Genomic DNA, 20850 nt, shown 5'->3' with positions numbered 1-20850 from the left:
TCACTCCTCTCTCCCCAGTGTCCCCATCGTAGACCTGCAGAGACCACGATGATGGCGTCTACTTCATGGAGCAGCCGCGTGGCATGGATGCTCTGTCACAGGTCAAGTGTTTAGAACAGACCTACTCTCGGGAGGTGCTGTTAACCATCTGTCATCCCTGTGTCAGTGGCTTTGTTATCTCAGGAACCAATTCCCAGCAGAGTCACTAAAAATGCTATCTGCAGAATCAGAGTCATGCCAGCCTGGCCTGTCCCCGAGCCGGTGCTGGGCCCTGGCGTGAGTGAGGCCCTTCGGAGTCACATGGCGTTGAAGCACAGCAAACCCAAGCCAGAGGCCCCGTCCCAACAAACAGGCAGCCAGGCCCGGAGAGTGTCTGTAGCTGCCTCTTGGAAGAAGTGAGGCCACAAGCTTCAGCGATTTTCTTCAAAAGGAAGTTTGAGGCCAGGAGCTGAGAGCAGCAGAGCCAGGCACATGTCAATGATCAAAGCCAGGAACGTGGCATGCAGGTTGATGCAGCCGAGTGGCCATTGCTTTGAAAAGTTAGACCAAGCCACCTCCTCTGCAGGAGCAGCCCCCGCGTGGCTTCAGCTCCTCTTTTCCACGTGTGCGCCTGCTTCAGGCCAACTTCTCGGTCCTCTTGGTTGGAATTTGGAGGAGCAATGCAACTCCATTTAGTGTGAGGCCAGGAGCGGTCAATGGGGTCCCGCGGCCAGGCTCAGCCTCACCAAAGGCAGGTGATTGCTATGGCAGGGTGGGGCTCTTTCACGTGCTTCAATAAATTCTCCAACAGTTGCCAGCCAGTAGCGACACCGCGTGGCAGGGCGTGCCTTCCTCCCAAGGCACACCTACCTGCCAGGCTGCGAGGGGACAGGACTCACCCATAGGTGCAGCGTGGCTCCCTCCCAACAGGGAAGCCCCAGCCCATGCTCGCAGATACCCAAGGGCCTCGGGCACTGCGTGGCAGCGCGCCCCTTCCTCCCAGGAAGTCCCAGCCGGACATCTCTCCTCGCCTCTGGCCCTTAGTGGGGCCAGGTGACCCATGCCACCCCCTCACTGTGCCCCATTCCCAGGGCTGGCCCTGAGAAAGCCTCCCACGCTGTCCTCCCTGCTTTTCTTTCCCCAACAACAGCCCCACCTGACAGCAGGAAAGGAAGAGACAGGAAGTGTTGGGTTTGGCTCTGGTGCGAGCACACTGACCCCACACTTGAGCTCCCGCCCCCAACACTGCTCTGGGGTACTGCTAAGCACACTGGCCTGGCCCATGCCTCCTTCCAAGGAGTGTTAGCCAACCAAGAAAAACGCCCCCGCCTGCAGACCACACCAGCAGGTTCTGCTCGGGCAACATGAACCCTGGGCTGGGGTTTGCTCAGGGCTGGCTGTCAGTTTCTGGTGACCTTTGGGCACATAGAAACTCTCACCTGGGGAAAGCAGCAGATCCGTGCCAGTGGCTCACCCTGCCATGAGCCACACCTGCCTGCCAGGCTGCCAGGAGACAAAACTCACCCACAGGTGCAGGGTGGCTCCCTCCCGACAAGGAAGCCCCAGCCCACACTGGCAGCTGCCCAAGGGCCTGGGGCGCTCGTGTGCACAGGCCACTAAAGTCACCCAATGCCAGCCAGCCTTGGTGAAAATTACCATTTGCTCAACTGAGATACTGGGTCCATGACTCCAAGGGGAGCTCGTTCTGGTTGCTCTGGGTATAGAGACTCTGAACTGTCCTGCCACGTAAAGAGAACAGTCTCGTTTCTCACACTCTGCGAAAAGACAGGTACGTGGCCCGCTCGCTGCCTTCTCCAGCCTTTGCACAAAGAACTTACAGCTTTTGAGTACAACCCACAGCTTACAGGGTCTTAGAAGCAAAATTCGTGTTTGGAGCAATTGTCAGACTGCAGCTTGGCAACACACTTCCTATGTGCCTTTGCTACTATTTGAACAACTGCTATCAGCTGGAAGGGTTATTCCCTCCTGCCGTTAGGGCATTGCTTTCCCTGGATCTAGAACAAGACTGACCAGATGTGTCTGGAGTTGATTGCTGCCATTGGGTTCTTCGTTTCGCTGACCAAAAATGAAGCCGTGGACCTTCCCGGTGAGTATTACAGCTCTTAAAGGTGGCACAGACCCAAACAGGGACCAGTAGAAAGATTTATTGTGAAGAGCAAAAAAATAAGCTTCCAAAGTATAGAAAAGAACCCTACAGGTTGCTGCTGCTGGCTGGCTAAGTGCTGAAGACCGGGCCAGCTTTTATTCCCTTATTTGTCCCCTCCCATGTTCTGTTTCTGTCCTATCAGAGTGCCCTTTTTTCAATCCTCCCTGCGATTGGCTACTTTTGGGATCCTGCTGATTGGTGCATTTTACAGAGCACTGATTGCTGCATTTTACAGAGTGCTGATTGGTGCATTTTACAGAGCACTGATTGGTGCATTTTGTAATCCTCTTGCTAGCTACAGAGAGGTGATTGGTGTGTTTTACAATCCTAGCTACAGAGTGCTGATTGGTGAGTCTTACAATCCTCTTATAAGACAGAAAAGTTCTCCAAGTCCCCACTCGACCCAGGAAGTCCAGCTGGCTTCACGTCTCACAGGGGCGTCAGGCCCAGAGAGGTCATTTTGGAATGACCAAAGGGTATCATTGGTGGCCCCTTTAAGAAAATATTCTGTTTCCAGAAGGCCCTAGAAACTTCCCTTCCCATGCATAGTCAACTAAATTGGCAAGAATTCTGCCTACTTGGTTGATACTCTCTTGGATGATGACTCTTATTTGCAGGGGTGCTCTCTCCCCACCTTCCTGCTTTCTCTGTCTTATTTAATGTCCAGGAACAAAAAGGGTGGAAAAATTAAGAGGTGGCCTCAGTCCTGTCCACCCTGGGCGAGGTGGTCAGATCCTGCTGGCGACTGCAGCTGTTTCTCTCAGGTGACTGGGGGGGCTTCCCGCAGGACCACTTCAGCCTCCTAGATGAGACTTTCTGCAAACATTATAATTCTTGTCAAAGTACTGCAATTTGAATTTCATGGCAGTTCTACATTTTATGCTAAAATGACTCATTTCCCCGTTGCAGGAGGATGATGAATACCCTACAGATGGCAGCTGCTCCTGTTCTCAGGAGCCTGGTCATTAGGAAGAAAAGGATAAAAACCCCAAACCTGTTATCTACTGAGCAATTCTGAGCTGCTCTGGAAATTTGAAAGGCACTGGGAAGAAAAGTGTCACCAGTTCTGCTGGGACGGGGCCAGGGTGTGGGTGGGGGATTCGGGCAGGGCTGGCTGCTCGCTCGCCCCCTCCCTCCCTGGAGGGCCCACTCTGCACTCCTGCCCTTCTTCCAACTTTTCCTCCTTCTTATTATCTTCGGATCTTCCTTCTGTTCCTCTACAGCTGAGCCTTCCTGAGGAGGTAAAGGAGTGTCCCTGGTGCTTGGGCAAATGGAACCGGTTCAGCCCATGCTGTCACCACGTGCAGGGCCCTCTCTCAGTGTGACTGGTGTGACAGGAGGAAGAAGGGCAGTGAGCCGTGGCCCAGCTATTGCAGGTGAGAGGGAAGCCAGCCGTGTGCCTTGGTACACGGTCACCACCAACCCTAAGGCCGCAGCCTACCCCAGACCCACCACCTCGCCATAAGTCAGCTGCCCGCTCCCGCCGGCCCATTCACCGCCCTTGTCCACAGGGGCCAGCGGCTCCCACAGGTTTCTGCTCCACATCAATAGAAACAGTCATTCAAGCTGGAGCTGGAGGCCCCCAACAGCTCTTGTTGTCTTGTTGTTGTCCACACATCACAACTCTCTTCTCTACTCAGGGACAGCCAGAGCAGCTTCCTGCAGTGCAAGCCCTGCCTGACGCCCTTCTGCCTTTCTCATCGGGTCTCAGCTCGTCCTGGCCACACCCGTCCAGGCCTTTTCTGCAGGAAAGGAACTTTTGCTCAACCATCCATTTTGAAAGTGGAGACTCTATCTCCATTCTAACGCTCCTTTTCTTTTAGACTTTTAAACACATTTTTTTTTTTAATAGAGACAGAGTCTCGCTCTGTTGCCCAGGCTGGAGTGCAACAGTGCGATCTTGGCTCACTGCCAACCCCCCGCCTCCCGGATTCAAGTGATTCTCTTGTCTCAGCCTCCCAAGTAGCTGGGACTACAGGCATGTGCCACCACATCCGGCTAATTTTTTTTTTTTTTTTGTATTTTTAGTAGAGACGGAGTTTCACCATGTTGGCCAGGCTGTTGTCGAACTCCTGACCTCAGGTGATTCGGCCTCCCAGAGTGCTGGGATTACAGGCGTCAGCCACCGCGCCTGGCCTAAACACAATTTTACTGTGAAAACAAAACTGGAAACTGGATGGTGTAATGATCTTCTACATACAATCGTCCCGCAGTATTTGTAGGGGATTGGCTCCGGGACCCCCAAAGATAACAAAATCTGAAAAGACTCAAATCCTTGATAAAATGGTACAGTATTTGCATGTAACCTCCACGCACCATCCTATATACTTTAAATCATTTCTAGTTTTCTTGTAATATCTAATACCATGTAAATGCTATGAAATAGTTGTTATATTGGTTTTTATTTGCATTATTTTTTATTATTGTATTTAAAAAATTTTTTTCCAGAGTATTTTCAATCTGCAGTTGGTTGAATGGGCAGATAGATACAGAACCCGTGGGTAATGAAGGCCAAATGTACTATCTTGATTCAATAATTGCTATGCTAACATTTCTCCACATTTGATTTAATTTCAACACACACACACTCTAAATATGTTTGTTGCTCTACCATTTGAGATTAAGTTGCAGACATTGTAGTAAAGTTGGCATTGCAGATTGGCAGAGGAAAGATGGGCTCTTTAGTGAATTATATTGGGACAGCTGTCCCGCCTCTTCAGGGAAAAATAAATTGTAGCCCTATTGAACTCTTTGACCAAAATTAATTCTGGATGAAACAAAAATTTAAATCTGAAAAGTGAAATAATAAAAATGCTAGAGGAGAGTATAGGTGACTATTTTTATAATCCTGAAACAAGAAAAGCCTTTCTAAACATGCCACAAAATCACAAGTCATGAAAAAAAAACAGATAAATATGACAATAAAAATAAATACACATAGGCCAGGTGCAGTGGCTCATGCCTGTAATCTCAGCACATTGGTAAGCTGAGGTGAGCAGATTGCTTGAGTCTAGAAGTTGGAGACCAGCCTGGGCAACATGGCAAGACCCTGTCTCTACAAAAAATTTTTTAAAAAGTAGGCACGGCAGTGCACGCCTGTGGTTCCATCCACTCAGGAGGCTGAGGTGGAAGGATCGCTTGAGCCAGGGAGGTGGATGCTGGAGTGACCCAAGATCATGCCACTGTACTCCAGCCTGGGTGACAGAGCAAGACCCTGTCGCAAAAAATACATACATATATACACCCATACATATATATGGGTAAGTAAAGTGTAAACTGTGCCTCTTTACTGACTTTAAACAAAAAGCAATAGTCATGTTTCACTTAACAACAGGGACACAGTCGAAGAAATGCGTTGTTAGATGATTTCATTGTTATGAGAACATCACAGAGGGCACTTACACAAGCCTAGATGGTCCAGCCTCCGACACACCTAGGCTATATGGTGTAGCCTGCAGCTCCTAGGCTACATACGTGTACAGCATGGCACTGTGCTGGATACAGTAGGCAGCTGTAACACAGCCATGAGTATTTGTGCATGTAAACATAGAAAAGGTACAGTAAAAATGTGATATTATAATTTTATGGGACCACTGTTATATACGATCTGTTGTTGACCAAAATGTGGTTATGTGGTTCATGACTATACTTATGGATAGCACATCAAGTCAATGGGGAGAATATTTTGTCACGCATTAATAGTAAAAGTAGTTCTCTTAAGATACAAAGAGCTCTTGCAGATCAGTTTTTAGAAGATGACAAATCTAAGGTCAGAGCTCAGTAACTGACAGTTCCTGGAAGAACAATGGCCAATAAGCATAAAGACATACTCAACTTCACCACCACCGAAGAAATGTCTGGAAGACAGCGAGTCATCAGTTCCCTTCATGGATTGTCTCAGATTGGCCAAGACTAAAATGAGGGATAATCCCTGGGGCTGGGCAGGTGTTAAGAAGCACATTCTCATCTGCCACTGGAAGAGAGTAAAGTGGTTCTGCCCTCTTACAGACAATTGAGAAAAAAAAAATTGAAAATAAAACTTTGAAAGCCTTTAGACCCAGCTCAGCAATCCTGCTGCTGAAGATTTATCTCACAGAAAAAAAAAAAAATGCAAGCAAGCGTGTGAGTTGCGGCCTACAGGGATGTTTGCTGCAGCACTGGGGGGAAACCTGGAAATGGCGCCCTATTCACTGGATGCAGGTGGCAGGTGAGCTCTCACAGTGGGGCTTAGCCCCTGAGGGTTCTTGGCTTCACCCAGGAAAGAATGCAAGGGCCAGCTGGTGGCATTATGCAGCCACTTTTCCTGAACTGGGCCAGGGCTGACTCCTCAGCAGTGCACCCGGAGTCAGCAGCATATGGGCTGAGGCAGCTGCACTCACAGCCACTTATACTGACTTCTAATGACATGCACATTAGGGGCAGGTTATTTGGAAATCTCTAAGGAAAAGGCAGCAACTTCCACAGCATTTGTAAACTGTCATGGTGCTGATGGGAGTGTCTTGTGCTAATGGACAATGAGGGCAAGGAGAGGTTGCTTTTAGGGCCATGTGCTAGTTCCCACGGGTTTCCTCCTTCATCCCGTGGGGACCAGGAAATAAGTCCTGCAGGCCTCTGACCTCAAACTAAGATGGGAATAACGCACAAAGGGTGGAAAACCCCAGCCTGGCCATGACGTGTGGTCACAAAGCACAAAGCAGAGGCACACAGTGACTCCTGCAGCTCAGCATGGGACCTGGGGCTCAGAGACGGAACCTAGGGGCTGGGTCCCTGCTGTGCGTTCTGACTCCACGGCACCCTCTCTCACTGTGACCTCGTATGGGCCGCTTTGCCTCTGTGTGTTCACATTCTCATCTTGATGAAGGGAGCACAAGTATCCAGCTTGCCATGGGCTGAAGTGTACCCCCCAAATTCATATGTTGAAGCCCCAATCCCTAACAGGATGGTACTGAAACCTGCCCTAGGATTAGACAGGATTTGTTAACCAGCAAAATTTCTTGAGCTCATTTTGCAGGACAGTGGAGAAGACGACAATTTGCTACAATCCCCTCTATTTGCAACTAAGTGGGCTGCCAGGAGGGACCAGTTGGAGCCAACATGGCTGACTAGAGTCTGCAGAGTGCACTGACTCACCCACGAGCCACCTTTTGATGTCAGAGGGCCCAAAACCCCACTTCCAGGTCATGCTAATGCCAACATTGTTTTTAAACATGCAACCCATGAAGCAGCAGGTAGGGCGACAGTGAGTGACCGAGGGACTCAACAAAGCCCCTTCCTTCCAGCCAATCTTCGTCCCGCCCCGAAACCCCACCCTCAAAATCTGTCTCTTACATCTATGGTGGCAAGGCCAGTGGGAAGACAGATAGGAACATTTCCTCCGGTCTCCATGTCACTCAACTGGCAATAAAGCCTTCCTATTGCAAAAACTTGGTGCTTCGGTGTTTGGCTTCCGTTCCTTGAGGGCAAGTGGACCCAGTTTGGTTGGGTGACAGAAGGGGCCCCCAGTCCCTGGGCCACGGACCAGTACCTGTCCATGGACTGTTAGTAACTGGGCCGCACAGCAGGAGGGGAGCAGCAGGTGGGTGGGTGAGCATGACCGCCTGAGCTCTGCCTCCTGTCAGATCAGCAGTGGCATTAGTTCTCATAGCAGCGCACTCTATTGTGAACTGCGCATGTGAGGAATCTGGGTTGCACACTCCTTATGAGAATCTAACTAATGCCTGATGACCTGAAGTGGAGCTGAGGCGGCGATGCTAGCACTTGGGAGTGGCTGCAAATACAGATGAACATTAGCAGAGAGGTTTGACAGCACAGAGACCATCATAAATCAATTGCTTGCAGAGTCATATCAAAACCCTATCTGTGAGTGGCAAGTGACAAGCTGCATGCAGTGGCAGGCTTTATTGAGGCAAGTGAGCTGATGGACTTCAATTGTACAGCTGCATCTGGTGGCCTTCAAAGTATGTTTGCGACAACTTCAAATCTCCATACGTTCTGGATTACAGCCAAGGCAGAATCTCCTGTGATTGTTCCCAAAGCACTGAAAAGCCCACTTCCATTTCCAATATCCTGTGTTTGTGAAGCAGAGTTTTCTGCAATATCATCGACCAAAACGAGATTACAGAGCAGACTGGACATTAGCAACACACTTCGGGTGTCATCGTCTTCCATCACCACCAGATGGGACCGTCTAGTTGCAGGAAAACAAGTTCAGGGCTCCCACTGATTCTACATTATGGTGAGCTGTATAATTATTTCATTATACGTTAGAGTGTAATAATAATAAAGTGCACAATAAATGTAATGCGCTTGAATCATCCCGAAACCATCCCTGCAACCCAGTCCATGGAAAAATTGTCTTCCACAAAACCAGTTCCTGGTGCCAAAAAAGGTTGGGGACTGCTGAGTGATAGTACCAGGAGGCGGGGCCTTTGGGAAGTGATCAGGCTTCATAAGGCGATGAGGGTCTGGCCCATGATGGGATTGGCGCTCTTAGAGTGACAGCAGAGAGTTTGTTCTCTCCCTCTCCCTCCCTTTCCCCTCTCCGCTCCTCCTGGTCCCCACAGAGGGACTAACCATGTTCCCAACTACCCCATGAAGAGCTTTTTCTTCAACAAAACCTGCCACTTTGAAGTTGTCTCAAGAAATTCTCTCCAAAGCAAGCCTGTCATCCAGCTCTAGATTCCAGGCTTTGAGGAATCCAAAGATAGCAGAGGTTTCCCTTATTAAAAGAAAAGCCCCTGGTCCTGGTGCCTGATAGCCCAGCCTCTGATGGATGAGATTCATCTTCACTTATCTGTCTGTAGTTGCTTAAATGACATTGATCCATATAAAAGGACAATGTACAAACTCACCATTTTCAGGAGTAAGGAAAGTATTTTCCTTCTCTTTGGGTTAAAAAAACAAACAAAACAGTAAATCCTGTGCACCCACCCACCCACCCCCCGCCCCCCAAAAAAACTATGACTTCATTGTTGAGAGGAGAAAAATGTATTTCTTTATATTTAAAAATAATGTTTTGGATATTTAAAAACAATGTTTTGCTTTGTTTACCACATCGAGCCAGCACCCCAATGCACTGGCTAAAGCTGACTTTCTTTTAGTCTCAAAGGAGAAATTCTTATTCCTGATTTCCTTCTGAACGACAGAGTTTTAAAGTTTTTTTCTTACACCACGATTGGGCTTGTAGATTTCTTTATCTGTGAAACGATTTTCATCCCAACCATTTGGACTACACCCATAAGCGGAAGAAAAAAGCCTTGAGTTGAGAGGGAAACGTCACAGAGCTCACGACCGACTTCACAGTGGAACAGACACGATCACTGATGGCACCGCCAGTGGAAAAAAACTTCGTCCATTTCAGAAATCCTTTTTTTTTTTTGAGACGGAGTCTTGCTCTGTCGCCATGGCTGGAGTACAGTGGTATGATCTTGACTCACTGCAACCTCTGCCTCCTAGGTTCAAGCAATTCTCCTGCCTCAGCCTCCCAAGTAAGTTGGGATTACACGTGCCCGCCACCACTCCTGGATGATTTTTGTATTTTTAGTGGAGACACGGTTTCACCATGTTGGCCAGGCTGGTCTCCAACTCCTGACCTCAGGTGATCCGCCTGCCTTGGCCTCCCAAAGTGCTGGGATTACAGGCATGAGCCAGCGTGCCCGGCCTCACTTTTCTCTTTTTAAGTGACCATTTCTTAGTTGACAATTTGGAGCTTGAGAATGCAGGGACAGCACAGGTAATATCTGACAGCCTCAAGAGTGGCAGGAGGCCATGACAACCCCCTCACCTGGTGCCTGCACAGAAGCAGGGAAGTGTGAGCTACATGTAGAGGGAGGATCATAAAAACAGGCCCAAGAACAAAGGGCTCAGAGCTCTGCTGACCTTATAGGATTCCCGTTTCTGTGTTTCCTGTGCAGTGCCCTTCACATGGCCTGCTTGAGACCTTCCATCAGCCCAGTCTGAGGTCCCTTAGGGGACGGTGTAGACCCCAGGAGGGAAGGGCTGGCTCTTCTCTAGGATGTCAGGAGGACCAGAGCTGCTGGGGCCCCACCTCGTCTGAAAACAACACAGAGCAGGGAAGAGCCAAGCCAAGGTGACAAAGGAAAGTGGAGTCCTAATCACACTATTTGAGGATGCCTGGATCCAGCTGCACCTGAAGCATTCCCCGGGTGTGCTGGTTATGCAGGACAGTCCTTTCCTCTTCTGGGGCCTAGATTTCTATCACTGAGCTCCAAGCAAGCAGACATAAAACCCAAAGGCTGCCCAGCACTCTGGGCTTGGAAATCAACTCTGCCTCCAGTCTCTTGTCTTGGGGGTTCCAGTGTGGAGACACACATAAGCCCTGCTGCTGATGTGTTTACATGATAAGCTTTCGTTTTCCTGCTCCCTGAGGTTAGGTAAGAGCACAGATACTCAAACACCTGCACATGTATTTGCTCCCAAGCCACACTGGAGATTTCATTGTAAGCTTGACGTGTTTATGACATGACAGCAATTGCCACCTCCACCCCACAGGCCACAAAGGCTGGCCTGGCAGGGAGCCCTGAGCTCTGGGACTGCCGCCCCATGCTGACCCTCCCTTCCTGTCACTGCCAGCCACTGTCTTCCTCCCCCGGCAGGCCTCCTCAGCTCCCGTCACTGTGTGTTTGGCAGTCCCAGGTCTCACTCTGCAGCAGGCATCACCTTCCCTGCTGCCACCATCTCCTCCCTGCTCCTCACCCTGGGACCTCGCCCTTCGCCTTCTGCCTCCTGGTGGGTTTGACCTTGTGTGGCAGGGCAGGGAGTGAGGGGAGCTGCAGGAGGCCGAGAGCAGGAGAGCCAGGTGACTATCCCCATGCCACCCGCGGCTCCCTCTGCATGGGGTCCCTGCCATGAGGTCCTCAGCTCCGTGTTTTTGCTACAGGGACCCTGGCCAACACACCTGTTGGTCAGGCATCTCCCTGGCCTGCAGCCATGACTCCACCACCAGCCTGCCTCCCCACCAGAGCAGGCCTCCTGTCAATGGAACCTGTTATTTTCCCTGAGGTCTCTCTTCCTCCCACCTGAGCCACCACCATACCAGCCCCTGCGAGGTGATGCCTCTGGTCTTCCCAGAAGCAGTCTCCTCTCCCTGGATGCTCTTCCCTCTTACCTGGGGACCACTTTCTCACTCAATTCTCCCTTCCTCCACGAAGCCCTCCAGGACTGCTGCCAGGGGCCGACCCCCTGTGGACTTGACCCCACCCCTTCATGTACACCCAAGACACCTCCATCCTCTATGTTTCCCAGCCACCAGCATCCCCTGCCTGACCTGCACACAGACAGTGCCCAAGCAATGCTCAAGTCAACGGACTCATCTGTTTGCTAAGGCCAAAATTGTAAAGAAAAGCAGTTGGGTTGGTTTTAGAAATGATTATTCTAAGATTAAAGTGCCAAATCAACACATTACCTATGAAGGAGAAGAAATGTTCACATATCAAAACTCATTAGCTCTGATATGAAAAGAAGACATGGCCACCAGCAGTTTTAAAATAAGTATCTCTGAAATGCCACGCAGCTTCCTCCTTTCCCTCTGAATCACCATTCGTTCATTCTTCCTGGCTGCCTTGGGCTGAGTGCTGAGGAGGTCTAGCAACATCAGAGCGGCAGGAGCGGCTGTCCATTAGCAGCATTTGGCACGCTGGAGGGAGCTGCAATTAGATTGAGCTATCAGAGGGGGTTTCCATAAATCTCCCGGCATTCTGCTTCATGATTCTCAGCTATCCTTTCTTCCCTTTGCAGGCAAGAGCTGGGAGGCGTTTTGTGGACCAAAAGCACTTTGTTCTGCAGAGCACTTTCGGCCTGTGTGGGAGGATGCCCTGGCACATGGGGAGAGGCCATGGGTGTGTGTTCATTATGCACTTTCTCCTGCAGACCTCTTAAGAGTCCTGAGCCTCCCCCGCCAGTTTCCATTTGCAGAGACCCCATTCACACGTAGCTATTTTACACATGCTCCTTGATAATCAAACCAGAACTGCTTGGACATCTGCATGGCTATTTTGGGGCTTCTAGGAGACTGAGGAAGACAACCTTATTTTCAACAGTCCACAAAGATGTGACATCATTCTGAACAGTAAGGCTGGCTGGGCTCGGTGACTCATGTCTGTAATCCCAACATTTTGGGAGGCCAAGGCTGGAGGAACACTTGAGCCCAGGAGTTTGAGACTAGCCTGGCCTACATAGTGAGACCCCTGTCGCTAAAAAAAAATTTTTTCTTTTTTTTTTTTGAGACAAGAGTTTCGCTCTTGTTGCCCAGGCTGGAGTGCAATGGCGCAATCTTGGCTCACTTGCAACCTCCGCCTCCTGGGTTCAAGCAATTCTTCTGCCTCAGCCTCCTGAGTAGCTAGGATTACAGGCATGCACCACCACGCCCGGCTAATTTTGTATTTTTAGTAGAGATGGGGTTTCTCCACGTCGGTCAGGCTGGTCTCCGACTCCCGACCTCAGGTGATCCGCCGGCCTGGGCCTCCCAAAGTGCTGGGATTACAGGCATGAGCCACCGCACCCGGCCAAAAAAAATTGTTTTTAATTATAAAAAGAGAGTAAGGCTTTCCAGGAGGTCAAGCAAGTGTGGTGATTGCTCCGTGAACCGTGAGAGACCAATACCGCAGCATTTACAAAACCCCCGCTGGGACTCAGCACAGTGCCCTTCCTCCAAACCTCAACTCCGGCAGGGGCAGAAGCAAGGCACCTGTGAGGCGCATCACTTTGGACACACCACTTTGGTTTGTTTGCTTTGGTTTGACCCCAGGCGGGAAAATCCGGGCCTGGTTCTCCTCCTCTCCCTCCCTCCCCTCCTCTCAGCTCTTACCTGGAAACTGCTCGGGACAAAGCCGGGTCCCCGCTGCGCGTGCAGCCTCCCAGGCCCTCCCCGTCGGCCTCCCTGCCTCCCCCCGCAATTCTCTCGCCTCGCGGGCAGCCTCGGCGCTCACGCACCCTGCAAACCCCTATCCCTCCGGGCCGGAACACCCCAGCTCTACGGCTGAGGGTGCAGGGGCGCCGAGGGCTGGGCGCCCGGGAGTTCCACAGCTCCCTGCACTTGATGATCTTCTGCAGTTATTCCAGAAGTAAACCGCCGCCTCCTTCATTTTTGCTTTGTTACGGGGTCTGGGCTCTGTCGCCCAGGCTGGAGTGCAGTGGCGCGATCTCGGCTTACTGCAGCCTCGACCGTCCTGGGCGCAGGTGATCTTCCCACCTCAGCCTCCCCGAAGTGCTGGGACCACAGGCGCGCGCCACTATGCCAGGCTAATTCTTAAATTTATTGTAGAGATGGTGGGCGGGGGGTGGGGGGGCGTCTTACTATGTTGCCAAGGCAGGTCTCGAACTCCTGGGCTCCAGCGATCCTCCCGCCTCGGCCTCCCTGGGTGCCAGCCGCCTCCCTATTTGCTGTCTGGGGCTTTGCCTTCTGGCGGGCTCCGTAGCAGTGACCGGCCCCTCGCTGCGGGTGGACATGCTCGTGCGAGTCGCGCGGGCTCGCGGCGGCCAGGAGCCTGTGGGACGCTGCGTGGGAGTTCCCATCCCGCGGTCCCAGGACCCCCGGCAGCAGCTGCCACGCTCAGGGCGGAAAGTGCCTGGGTGGCCAAAGCGGGGGCCTGGGGAGAGAGCCAGCCCCGGGAGGACGGCACTGCAGAGGCGGCCAGGAGGCAGGGGAGGCTCGGCGACCCTGGCAGGCGCTGCGGGACGCCGAGGACTGGGGCGGCGTGCTGGAGATCCGCGGCCAACCGTGGGGTGAGCAAGGGAGGAGGGGAGGGAGCGGCCGAGGGGCCCAGAGCTGCAGCAGGAGGTCGGGGAGCGAAGGGCAGGCGCGCCCAGGCCCCGGCGGGGGAGGGGAGGTTCTGAGTCCGGGGTGGCGGAGAGGGGAAGCCAGCGGGGCTGGCGGAGGGGCGGATCCCACGGGAAGGGGCGGGGAGCGCCGGGGACTAGGGGCGAGGAGGCCGCGGGACTGGGCGGAGCAGGGGCGCCACAGGTGCGGGGCGCTAGTGCGAGAGGCGGAGGCAGCGGGGAAGGAAGGGAGGCCGGCAGGGGGAAGCCCGCCCCTTCCTCCGCGCCCCCTCCTCCCTCTCCTCCCTCCCCCTTTTCCCTCCTTCCCTCCTCCACACCCCCTCCTTCCCTCCGCCCCCCCGGCATGCCTCCTTTTCCCTAGGGAAAAGTGCCCGTTCTTTTACTCTCCCTTCCATCCCTCGATATTCTTAATCCCTCAGGCGGCTGGTCTCACAGGAATTTAAAGAAAGAAAAAATCTGATTAAAAGTCTGTGCTCAAGCCGGGCGCGGTGGCTCACGCCTGTAATCCCGGCACTTTGGGAGGCCGAGGCGGGCGGATCACGAGGTCAGGGGTTCGAGAACATCCTGGCCAACATGGTGAAACCCCGTCTCAACTAAAAATACAAAAATTAGCTGGGCATGGTGGCGGGCACCTGTAGTCCCAGCTACTCGGGAGGCTGAGGCAGGAGAATCGCTTGAGCCTGGAAGGCAGATGTTGCAGTGAGCTGAGATTGCGCCACTGCACTCCAGCCTGGGCGACAGAATGAGACTGTGTCTGAAAACAAAAACAAAAACAAAAAAAACAACTCTGCCCATCAGGCAGCAGGACAGGGTGGAGCGTTTGCTGCTTCTGGCTGGGGTAGCGAGGAGTTGATACAGGCTTCCTGGTCCCCTGGGGCACAGGACTTGACTGCTGGCAAAGCCCCCCCCCCCCCCCATCCTCTGCAGGCTGGGGAAGGGCTGAGTCCCACACACCCTGGGAGGCAGGAAGTATCCCAGGACACATTTCCTCAGTCACCCTCCTACCTGATCCACTAGAGAAATGGGGAAGGGGGACCACACACTCTGGTTTCTCCAGATTTCCTGGATTGCCCTGAACACACACACAGCAACAGGACGGGTACTCAAAGGCTACCACATCCCAAACTCAACCTTCAGAGAAATGGTAGATCTGCCTTTGCAAAATTATAACAGACAACTATGACAGTGAAAGAGATCTCACCTAACTGACTCCATCTTGCTTCCAACCCCCAAGCTGTCCTTGTCATTCCTGGGCATGAACTAACTTTGGGAGGAACTTGGTTTATTGTTTTGCTTTGAAACAAAAACAATAACAGCCCTTTCCCAAAACAAACTCCCTTCTTGCCTGGGGACTACACTGCCTTTGCAGGACTAACAAATTAGCTGTAAGGTTAGAAATTAGGGTTTAGGAGTCATGCATCTGGAGACTCCAAGATTCTGAGCCATCCCAAATTGCTCCTGAGAATAAACTCACTATGGTAAGGCCTAAGATCAGTGCTTGAGATGATTTGTAGACCCTGCACATGATGATCGATGATCAGCTGGCACCACATGGGATCCTGTGGCCTCTACCCAGGAACTGATTCAGCAAAAGAGGACAGCTTCGACTTTCCGTGATTTTGTCAGAGGTGTTTGAACCACAGCGACTCCATCTTGAGTAGGGGCTGGGTGAAATAAGGCTGAGACCTGCTGGGCTGCATCCCCAGGAGGTTAGGCATTCTTAGTCACAGGATGAGGTAAGAGGTCAGTACAAGATACAGGTCATAAAGACCTTGCTGATAAAACAGGATGTGGTAAAGAAGCTGGCCAAAACCCACCAAAACCAAGATGGCGACGTCTTTTAATAATTAGAGTATAATGAGCTGTGGTCATCCTCACTGCTTATTATACTCTAATTATAATGTTTAGCATGCTAAAAGACACTCCTACCAGCACCATTACGGTTCACAAATGCCATGGCAACGTCCAGAAGTTACCCCCTATGGTCTAAAAGAGGGAGTAACCTTCAGTTCCTGGAATTGCCTTCCCCTTTCCTGGAAAACTCGTGTATAATCCACCGCTTGTTTAGCATATAATCAAGAAGTAACTAAGTATACTCCCTCGAGCAGCTCATGCCACTGCCCTGCCTATGGAGTCACCAACTTGATGGACTTGCCCTGAATTCTTTCTTGCGTGAGATCCAAGAACCCTTTCCTGGTGTCTGGATTGGGACCCCTTTCCAGCAACAATTTTATCTTCTACCCAACCAATCAGCATTCCCCATTTTCCAACCCCCCCAACCCACCAAATTATCCTTAAAAACCCAGATCCCCAAGTTTTCAGGGAGACTGGTTTGAGTAGTAATAAAACTCCAGTCTCCTGTGCAGCCGGCTCTGCGTGAATTAAACTCTCGACTGCAATTCCCCTGTCTTGATAAATCGGCTCTGTCTAGGCAGTGGGTATGGAGAGCCCATTGGGCAATTACACATGGACCGTGTGTGGTGACTCCATGTTCAAGCAGCCAGAAGCTCCCTGGTTGAGGCACCCTGGATAACTGGAATTTCCCATACTTGATTTGACTTTTAGAAAAAAAAAATAGAGAATGCAACAGTGTTTTTCTTTATTTTTCACCTGGAAATCATTTTTAACCTTTGAGGGTAGTCAAGGACCCATTTGAAAATTGGACAACTGATTTCCTCAGAAAAGAAGACCTTAAAAATAAAAATTGTACATGCCATTGTGGGATCCATAGGCCCTTGGATAAGAATCCCTGTAGTAAACCGGGCGCGGTGGCTCATGCCTGTAATCCTAGCACTTTGGGAGGCCAAGGCGGGTGAATCACTTGAGGCCAGTAGTTTGAGATCAGCCTGGCCAACATGGCAAAACCTCCTCTCTACTAAAAATAAAAAAAATTAGCCGGGTATGGTGGTGTGTGCCTGTAATCCCAGCTACTCGGGAGGCTGAGGCATGAAAATCATTTGAACCCAGGAGGCAGAGGTTGCAGTGAGCCAAGATGGCGCCACTGCACTCCAGCCTGGGCGACAGAGTGAGATGCTGTTTCAAACAAACAAACAAAAAAAGAATCCCTGCAGTAAACCGTCTCCTTCCAGCCCCTGGAAGCCATGGCAGCCAGCTGTGCCCACTGCCAATTCTGTGCCACTGTAGGTGGAATTCAAGGCAGACGGGGGCTCCTTGGGGGACACTGTGGCATGTGCTGCCTTTGATGGGGATCACAGCCTCTCAGCCTCTGAAGCTGGGAGAATCGCTGGGATCACCTGTCCAAACAGAAAGCCCACAAGGACCCCAGAGAGGTTCAGGGGAAATGAGTGGCTCAGATCTGGAGCCAATTTTTATGTTAAAAGGTTTCTTTTCTTAATAAAGGCCCATTGGGACCCAGATGAGTAATGAAATGTTGGAACAGCAAAGCAAACAAAAGCCACCCTGCTGAGAAATGAAGAATGGGCTTGAGCTGTTTTTACTCAAACACTTCTCACACCAAATGTGGGATTTTTTCCCGCACCAGCCAGTTCTCAGTACCAACTGAGTGTCCTATGATTCAATTCAATTCTGACACTAACTAATGTCAGATTGAACAGGTTCAAGGGCTCAGTCCCACAAGATCACCTACACCGCAGACGCCAGTCCCAAGTCTTAGGTACTCAGAGAACCTACACTTCTGTCCGACTTGGCTACAAAGTCAGGAGGTTCTTACAATCCCCACCTCCCTCAGGTCAATAATTGGCTAGAACAGCTCATAGAAACCAAGAAAACACTTATTTACTATTACCAGTTTATTACCATGGACACAGACGAACAGCCAGGGCTAGGTCTGGAAGGGTCCGGAGCCCAGGAGGTTCTGTCCGCATGGAGTCGGGGTGTGCCACCCTGTCAGCACATGGCTGTGTTTGCCAACCTGGAAGTTCTCCAGACTTCGTTGTTCAGGAATGTTTAGGGAGTTTTCATGACATGGGTATGATTCATTAATCATTGACCACTGGTGATTAACCCAATCTCCAGCCTGTCTCCTCTCCCCAGAGGAGGTTTGCGGGGAGTGGGGCTGAAAGTTCCAACCTCCTAATCCTGCCTTGGTCTTTCTGGGACCAGCCCTCATCCTGAAGCTGTTCAGGGGCTCCCAGCCACCAGTCATCTCATTAGTACACAAAAAACATTCATTATTCTCACTGCAGAGATTCCAAAGGTCTTAGGCCCTCTGTGCCAGGAACAGAGACAAGGACCAAATCTATGTTTCTTATTGTATCACCATGCTTCACATCTTAGCCTTCCCCAGGCATGAGGCCCTGGGCAGCTCATGGTCCTCTGTGCCTAGGGTACTGGGACCCCTCACTGCAGGCCCTTTGTGTAGGCTCCTTGGAGGGACCCGAGCAATTCTCTACCACAATTTTTGTTTTCATTTTCTTTAAAGAGAGTTCCCGGGTGGCATAAACCTCGGGCCCCACACATCTGCTTCAGCGTGTAATAATTTGGCTTTTCTCATCCCAGAAGGGACAACAGTGCCCTGAATGAGTAACCCCCAGCCCAACAACCTCTTAAGTGGTGGCATTGTAAGTCGAGAGCATATTCAATTTCCAAGGCTGGCCTGTGTTCACAAATACCTAGTCCTCGAAAGGCCTGAAACATCTTGTGACTCAAGCTTCCCCACCCTTCAGGGTTTCTATAGGTCCCTGGGAATCACCGCTGGAACCACTGTTCTGGGCGAGACCCTTCATGCGTCCTGCCCCAGAGCCATCTTACTTCTAGGCAGAGTGGACTTGCCTCTGGAACCCTGTTTGGGAACCCAGGCACCTTTCTCTGTTGCTTACCTTCCCTCTCCCCTGTCTGCCAACCGCACTGCTGTCACCTCCCTTCAGTCCCCAGCCCCCACCATGGATCCTGCCTTACAGGGGAATTTGACAGGCTGCATTTAGCCTAGATTAAAATGGCTTTAGAATATGATATTCAAAATCTGCATGTCACTCAAGTTTATCATAAATACAAGATGCGATAAACTTGCTTGACAGCTGAGCTGACATGGCTTCGGAATGAATAGCATCTTGAAGTTCTGACTCATGATGAAAACGCATGGGGATTGCAGGGACAGGCTGGAGTGTCATTTTTAAGCACAGCCAACATGATTTTGACAGGGCAGACACACCGTGGGATCGGCTCTTTGCTGCTCCAGACAGCCACTGCCACGTACAGCTAATGCTTCGTTATTTATGGTAATAGGGACCGGGATGACATGGATCATTGAAATGAGCATGTCATTAACAAATAAGATGCACTGAGGAAGTAATTCAATCACCTCTCTCCAGGTTCCTTTTAAGGGAGCCGCTGGAAAACCCTCCACAGGTCCTCCCTTCGGGCCCTGCATCCAATGAATGGGGTGGTGGACAGTGTCCATTCCTTTCCTCCAGGAGCCTCCTGGGGAACCAGACAAGGATCACCTCTGGATAAGCCTCGGATGTGATGGGGAATTCCTTAAGAACTCTCTCTGTCCATTTTCTGTTGCATATAATAGAATATTTGAAACTGAGTAATTGCTAAGAAATGAAATTTATTTCTTACACTTCTGGAGGCTGGGAAGTCCAAGGTTGAATGGCTGCATCTGGTGAGGGCTTCTTGCTGGTGGGGACTCTGTAGAGTCCCAAGGTGGTGCCGGGCATCACATGGCGAGGGGGCTGAACATGCTGGCCCATGTCTCTTTCTCTTCTTATAAAGCCACCAATTCCACTCTGTGATAACACATTAATCCATTAACCCACCAGTCCATCAGTTCATGAATGGGTTAATCTATTCACAAAGGCAGAGCCCCCATGACACAATCACCTGTTTTTTGTTTTTGTTTTGATTTGTTTTTTGAGATGGAGTCTCGCTCTGTTGCCCAGGCTGGAGTTCAGCGGCGCAATCTTGGCTTACTGCAACCTCTCCATCTCACGGGTTCAATCAAATCTCATGCCTCAGCCTCCCAAGTAGCTGAGATTACAGGCATGTGCCACCACGCTCAGCTAATTTTTGTATTTTTAGCCCTTTGAATCTTCCCTGGTCGTAGTTATGGGAGCGGGAGAAGAGGAATTCTGGGGAGGGGCAATAAATGATGACTAGGGAAGATTCAAAGGGCTTGAAGAACACACCACGGTCTGCGGTAAAGTCTGCTGGGCCTGCAGAGCAGACAATGGTTTGTGACAAAAGTCTGTCCAGGTGTGTTGACCGACTTTAGTTTTCCTTTCTGAGATATGGGTGCAGTTAATGAAAACTCAGGGAAGTGACTGGAGGTGATTGTTTTTCTTTCATAGACCCAGACTTTAGACAGATAAGGGAATGTCAGAGAAGCCTATGCTTTGGGGCAGGAGGGAGGAGAGAGACCTTGAAGCTCCTTTTTCAGTTCAGCATGTACAAAGCATCAAATTCGGGGCATCAGCTTCCGAGCCCCAGCAATGTTTTCAAAGTTAATCCATGTTGTAGTATCAATCAGTATTGCATCCCTATTTACCGCAAATAGTCTCTTGTATCGATATATACCACAACATGTTCACCAATTCATCAGTTGACGGGCGTTTGAGTGGTTTCCATCTTTTGGCTCTTAAGGAGTAATATTGCTAGGAACATTGATGTACAAGTGTCTATGTGGACATGTTTTCATTTGCCTTGGGTATACCTAGGAGTGGAATTGCCGGGTCACGGTAATTATATGTTTAATTTTTTGAGGACGCACCAAACTGTTTTCCGAAGTGGCGCCATCTGCTGGAAAGTATGGTTCTCCTTTTCTGCTTTGTGATTGGTGGTGGTTATTTCTGTTGCGTTTCCCCGGACTGGCAATAGCAGACAATGCAGTGGAGGCCTAGAGGCCCGAGCGGCCTGTTGGTTGTGCAGATCAACTGCTCCCTCTTCTGTTGCTAGAGTGAAGGGCAGTTTCTTTAATCAACGACACC

General features: G+C 50.8%; 1 protein-coding gene and 2 long non-coding RNA genes across 7 annotated transcripts in view, besides 3 other annotated features; 2 read left to right on the top strand and 1 right to left on the bottom strand.

Moving 5' to 3' along the window:
• Positions 1-1497: 1497 nt before the first annotated feature.
• On the top strand, positions 1498-7625 carry LOC105370743 (uncharacterized). 3 transcript variants are annotated; one of them, XR_932031.3, is made up of 4 exons: positions 1498-2086; positions 2814-2910; positions 3056-3522; positions 3787-7625. It is a non-coding gene; the product is annotated as an uncharacterized LOC105370743 (long non-coding RNA). The 3 variants fall into 3 exon arrangements; XR_932029.3 differs by having other exon boundaries at positions 1498-2910; XR_932032.2 differs by lacking the exon at positions 2814-2910 and having other exon boundaries at positions 2034-2086; positions 3370-3522; positions 3787-4011.
• Positions 7626-9823: 2198 nt separating this feature from the next.
• LCIIAR (lung cancer immune cell infiltration associated lncRNA) lies at positions 9824-14052 on the bottom strand. Its single transcript, NR_135221.1, has 2 exons — positions 13461-14052; positions 9824-11811 (listed from the first exon to the last, which is right to left on the bottom strand). It is a non-coding gene; the product is annotated as a lung cancer immune cell infiltration associated lncRNA (long non-coding RNA).
• Positions 10398-10898: an enhancer, noted in NCBI's record as "H3K4me1 hESC enhancer chr15:29970293-29970793 (GRCh37/hg19 assembly coordinates)". NCBI's record gives its function as "activates a minimal SCP1, AML or CMV promoter by ChIP-STARR-seq in naive H9 embryonic stem cells {active_cell/tissue: H9 hESC(naive)}" and the evidence as "EXISTENCE:reporter gene assay evidence [ECO:0000049][PMID:30033119]".
• Positions 12578-13108: an enhancer, noted in NCBI's record as "H3K4me1 hESC enhancer chr15:29968083-29968613 (GRCh37/hg19 assembly coordinates)". NCBI's record gives its function as "activates a minimal SCP1, AML or CMV promoter by ChIP-STARR-seq in primed H9 embryonic stem cells {active_cell/tissue: H9 hESC(primed)}" and the evidence as "EXISTENCE:reporter gene assay evidence [ECO:0000049][PMID:30033119]".
• Positions 13109-13639: an enhancer, noted in NCBI's record as "H3K4me1 hESC enhancer chr15:29967552-29968082 (GRCh37/hg19 assembly coordinates)". NCBI's record gives its function as "activates a minimal SCP1, AML or CMV promoter by ChIP-STARR-seq in primed H9 embryonic stem cells {active_cell/tissue: H9 hESC(primed)}" and the evidence as "EXISTENCE:reporter gene assay evidence [ECO:0000049][PMID:30033119]".
• ENTREP2 (endosomal transmembrane epsin interactor 2) overlaps positions 13578-20850 on the top strand; it is a 557698-nt gene continuing 550425 nt past the window's right edge. For all 3 annotated transcript variants that reach the window (NM_001387217.1, NM_001387215.1, NM_001387216.1), the window contains exon 1: positions 13578-13888. The gene's annotated coding sequence lies outside the window, so the exon portion shown is untranslated. The remainder of the gene's footprint in view (positions 13889-20850) is intronic.

Source organism: Homo sapiens, chromosome 15 (assembly GCF_000001405.40).
Source record: "Homo sapiens chromosome 15, GRCh38.p14 Primary Assembly".
Taxonomy (NCBI): domain Eukaryota; kingdom Metazoa; phylum Chordata; class Mammalia; order Primates; family Hominidae; genus Homo; species Homo sapiens.
The sequence above is the reverse complement of the archived record's forward strand: the minus strand, read 5'-3'. Positions and strand labels throughout refer to the sequence as shown.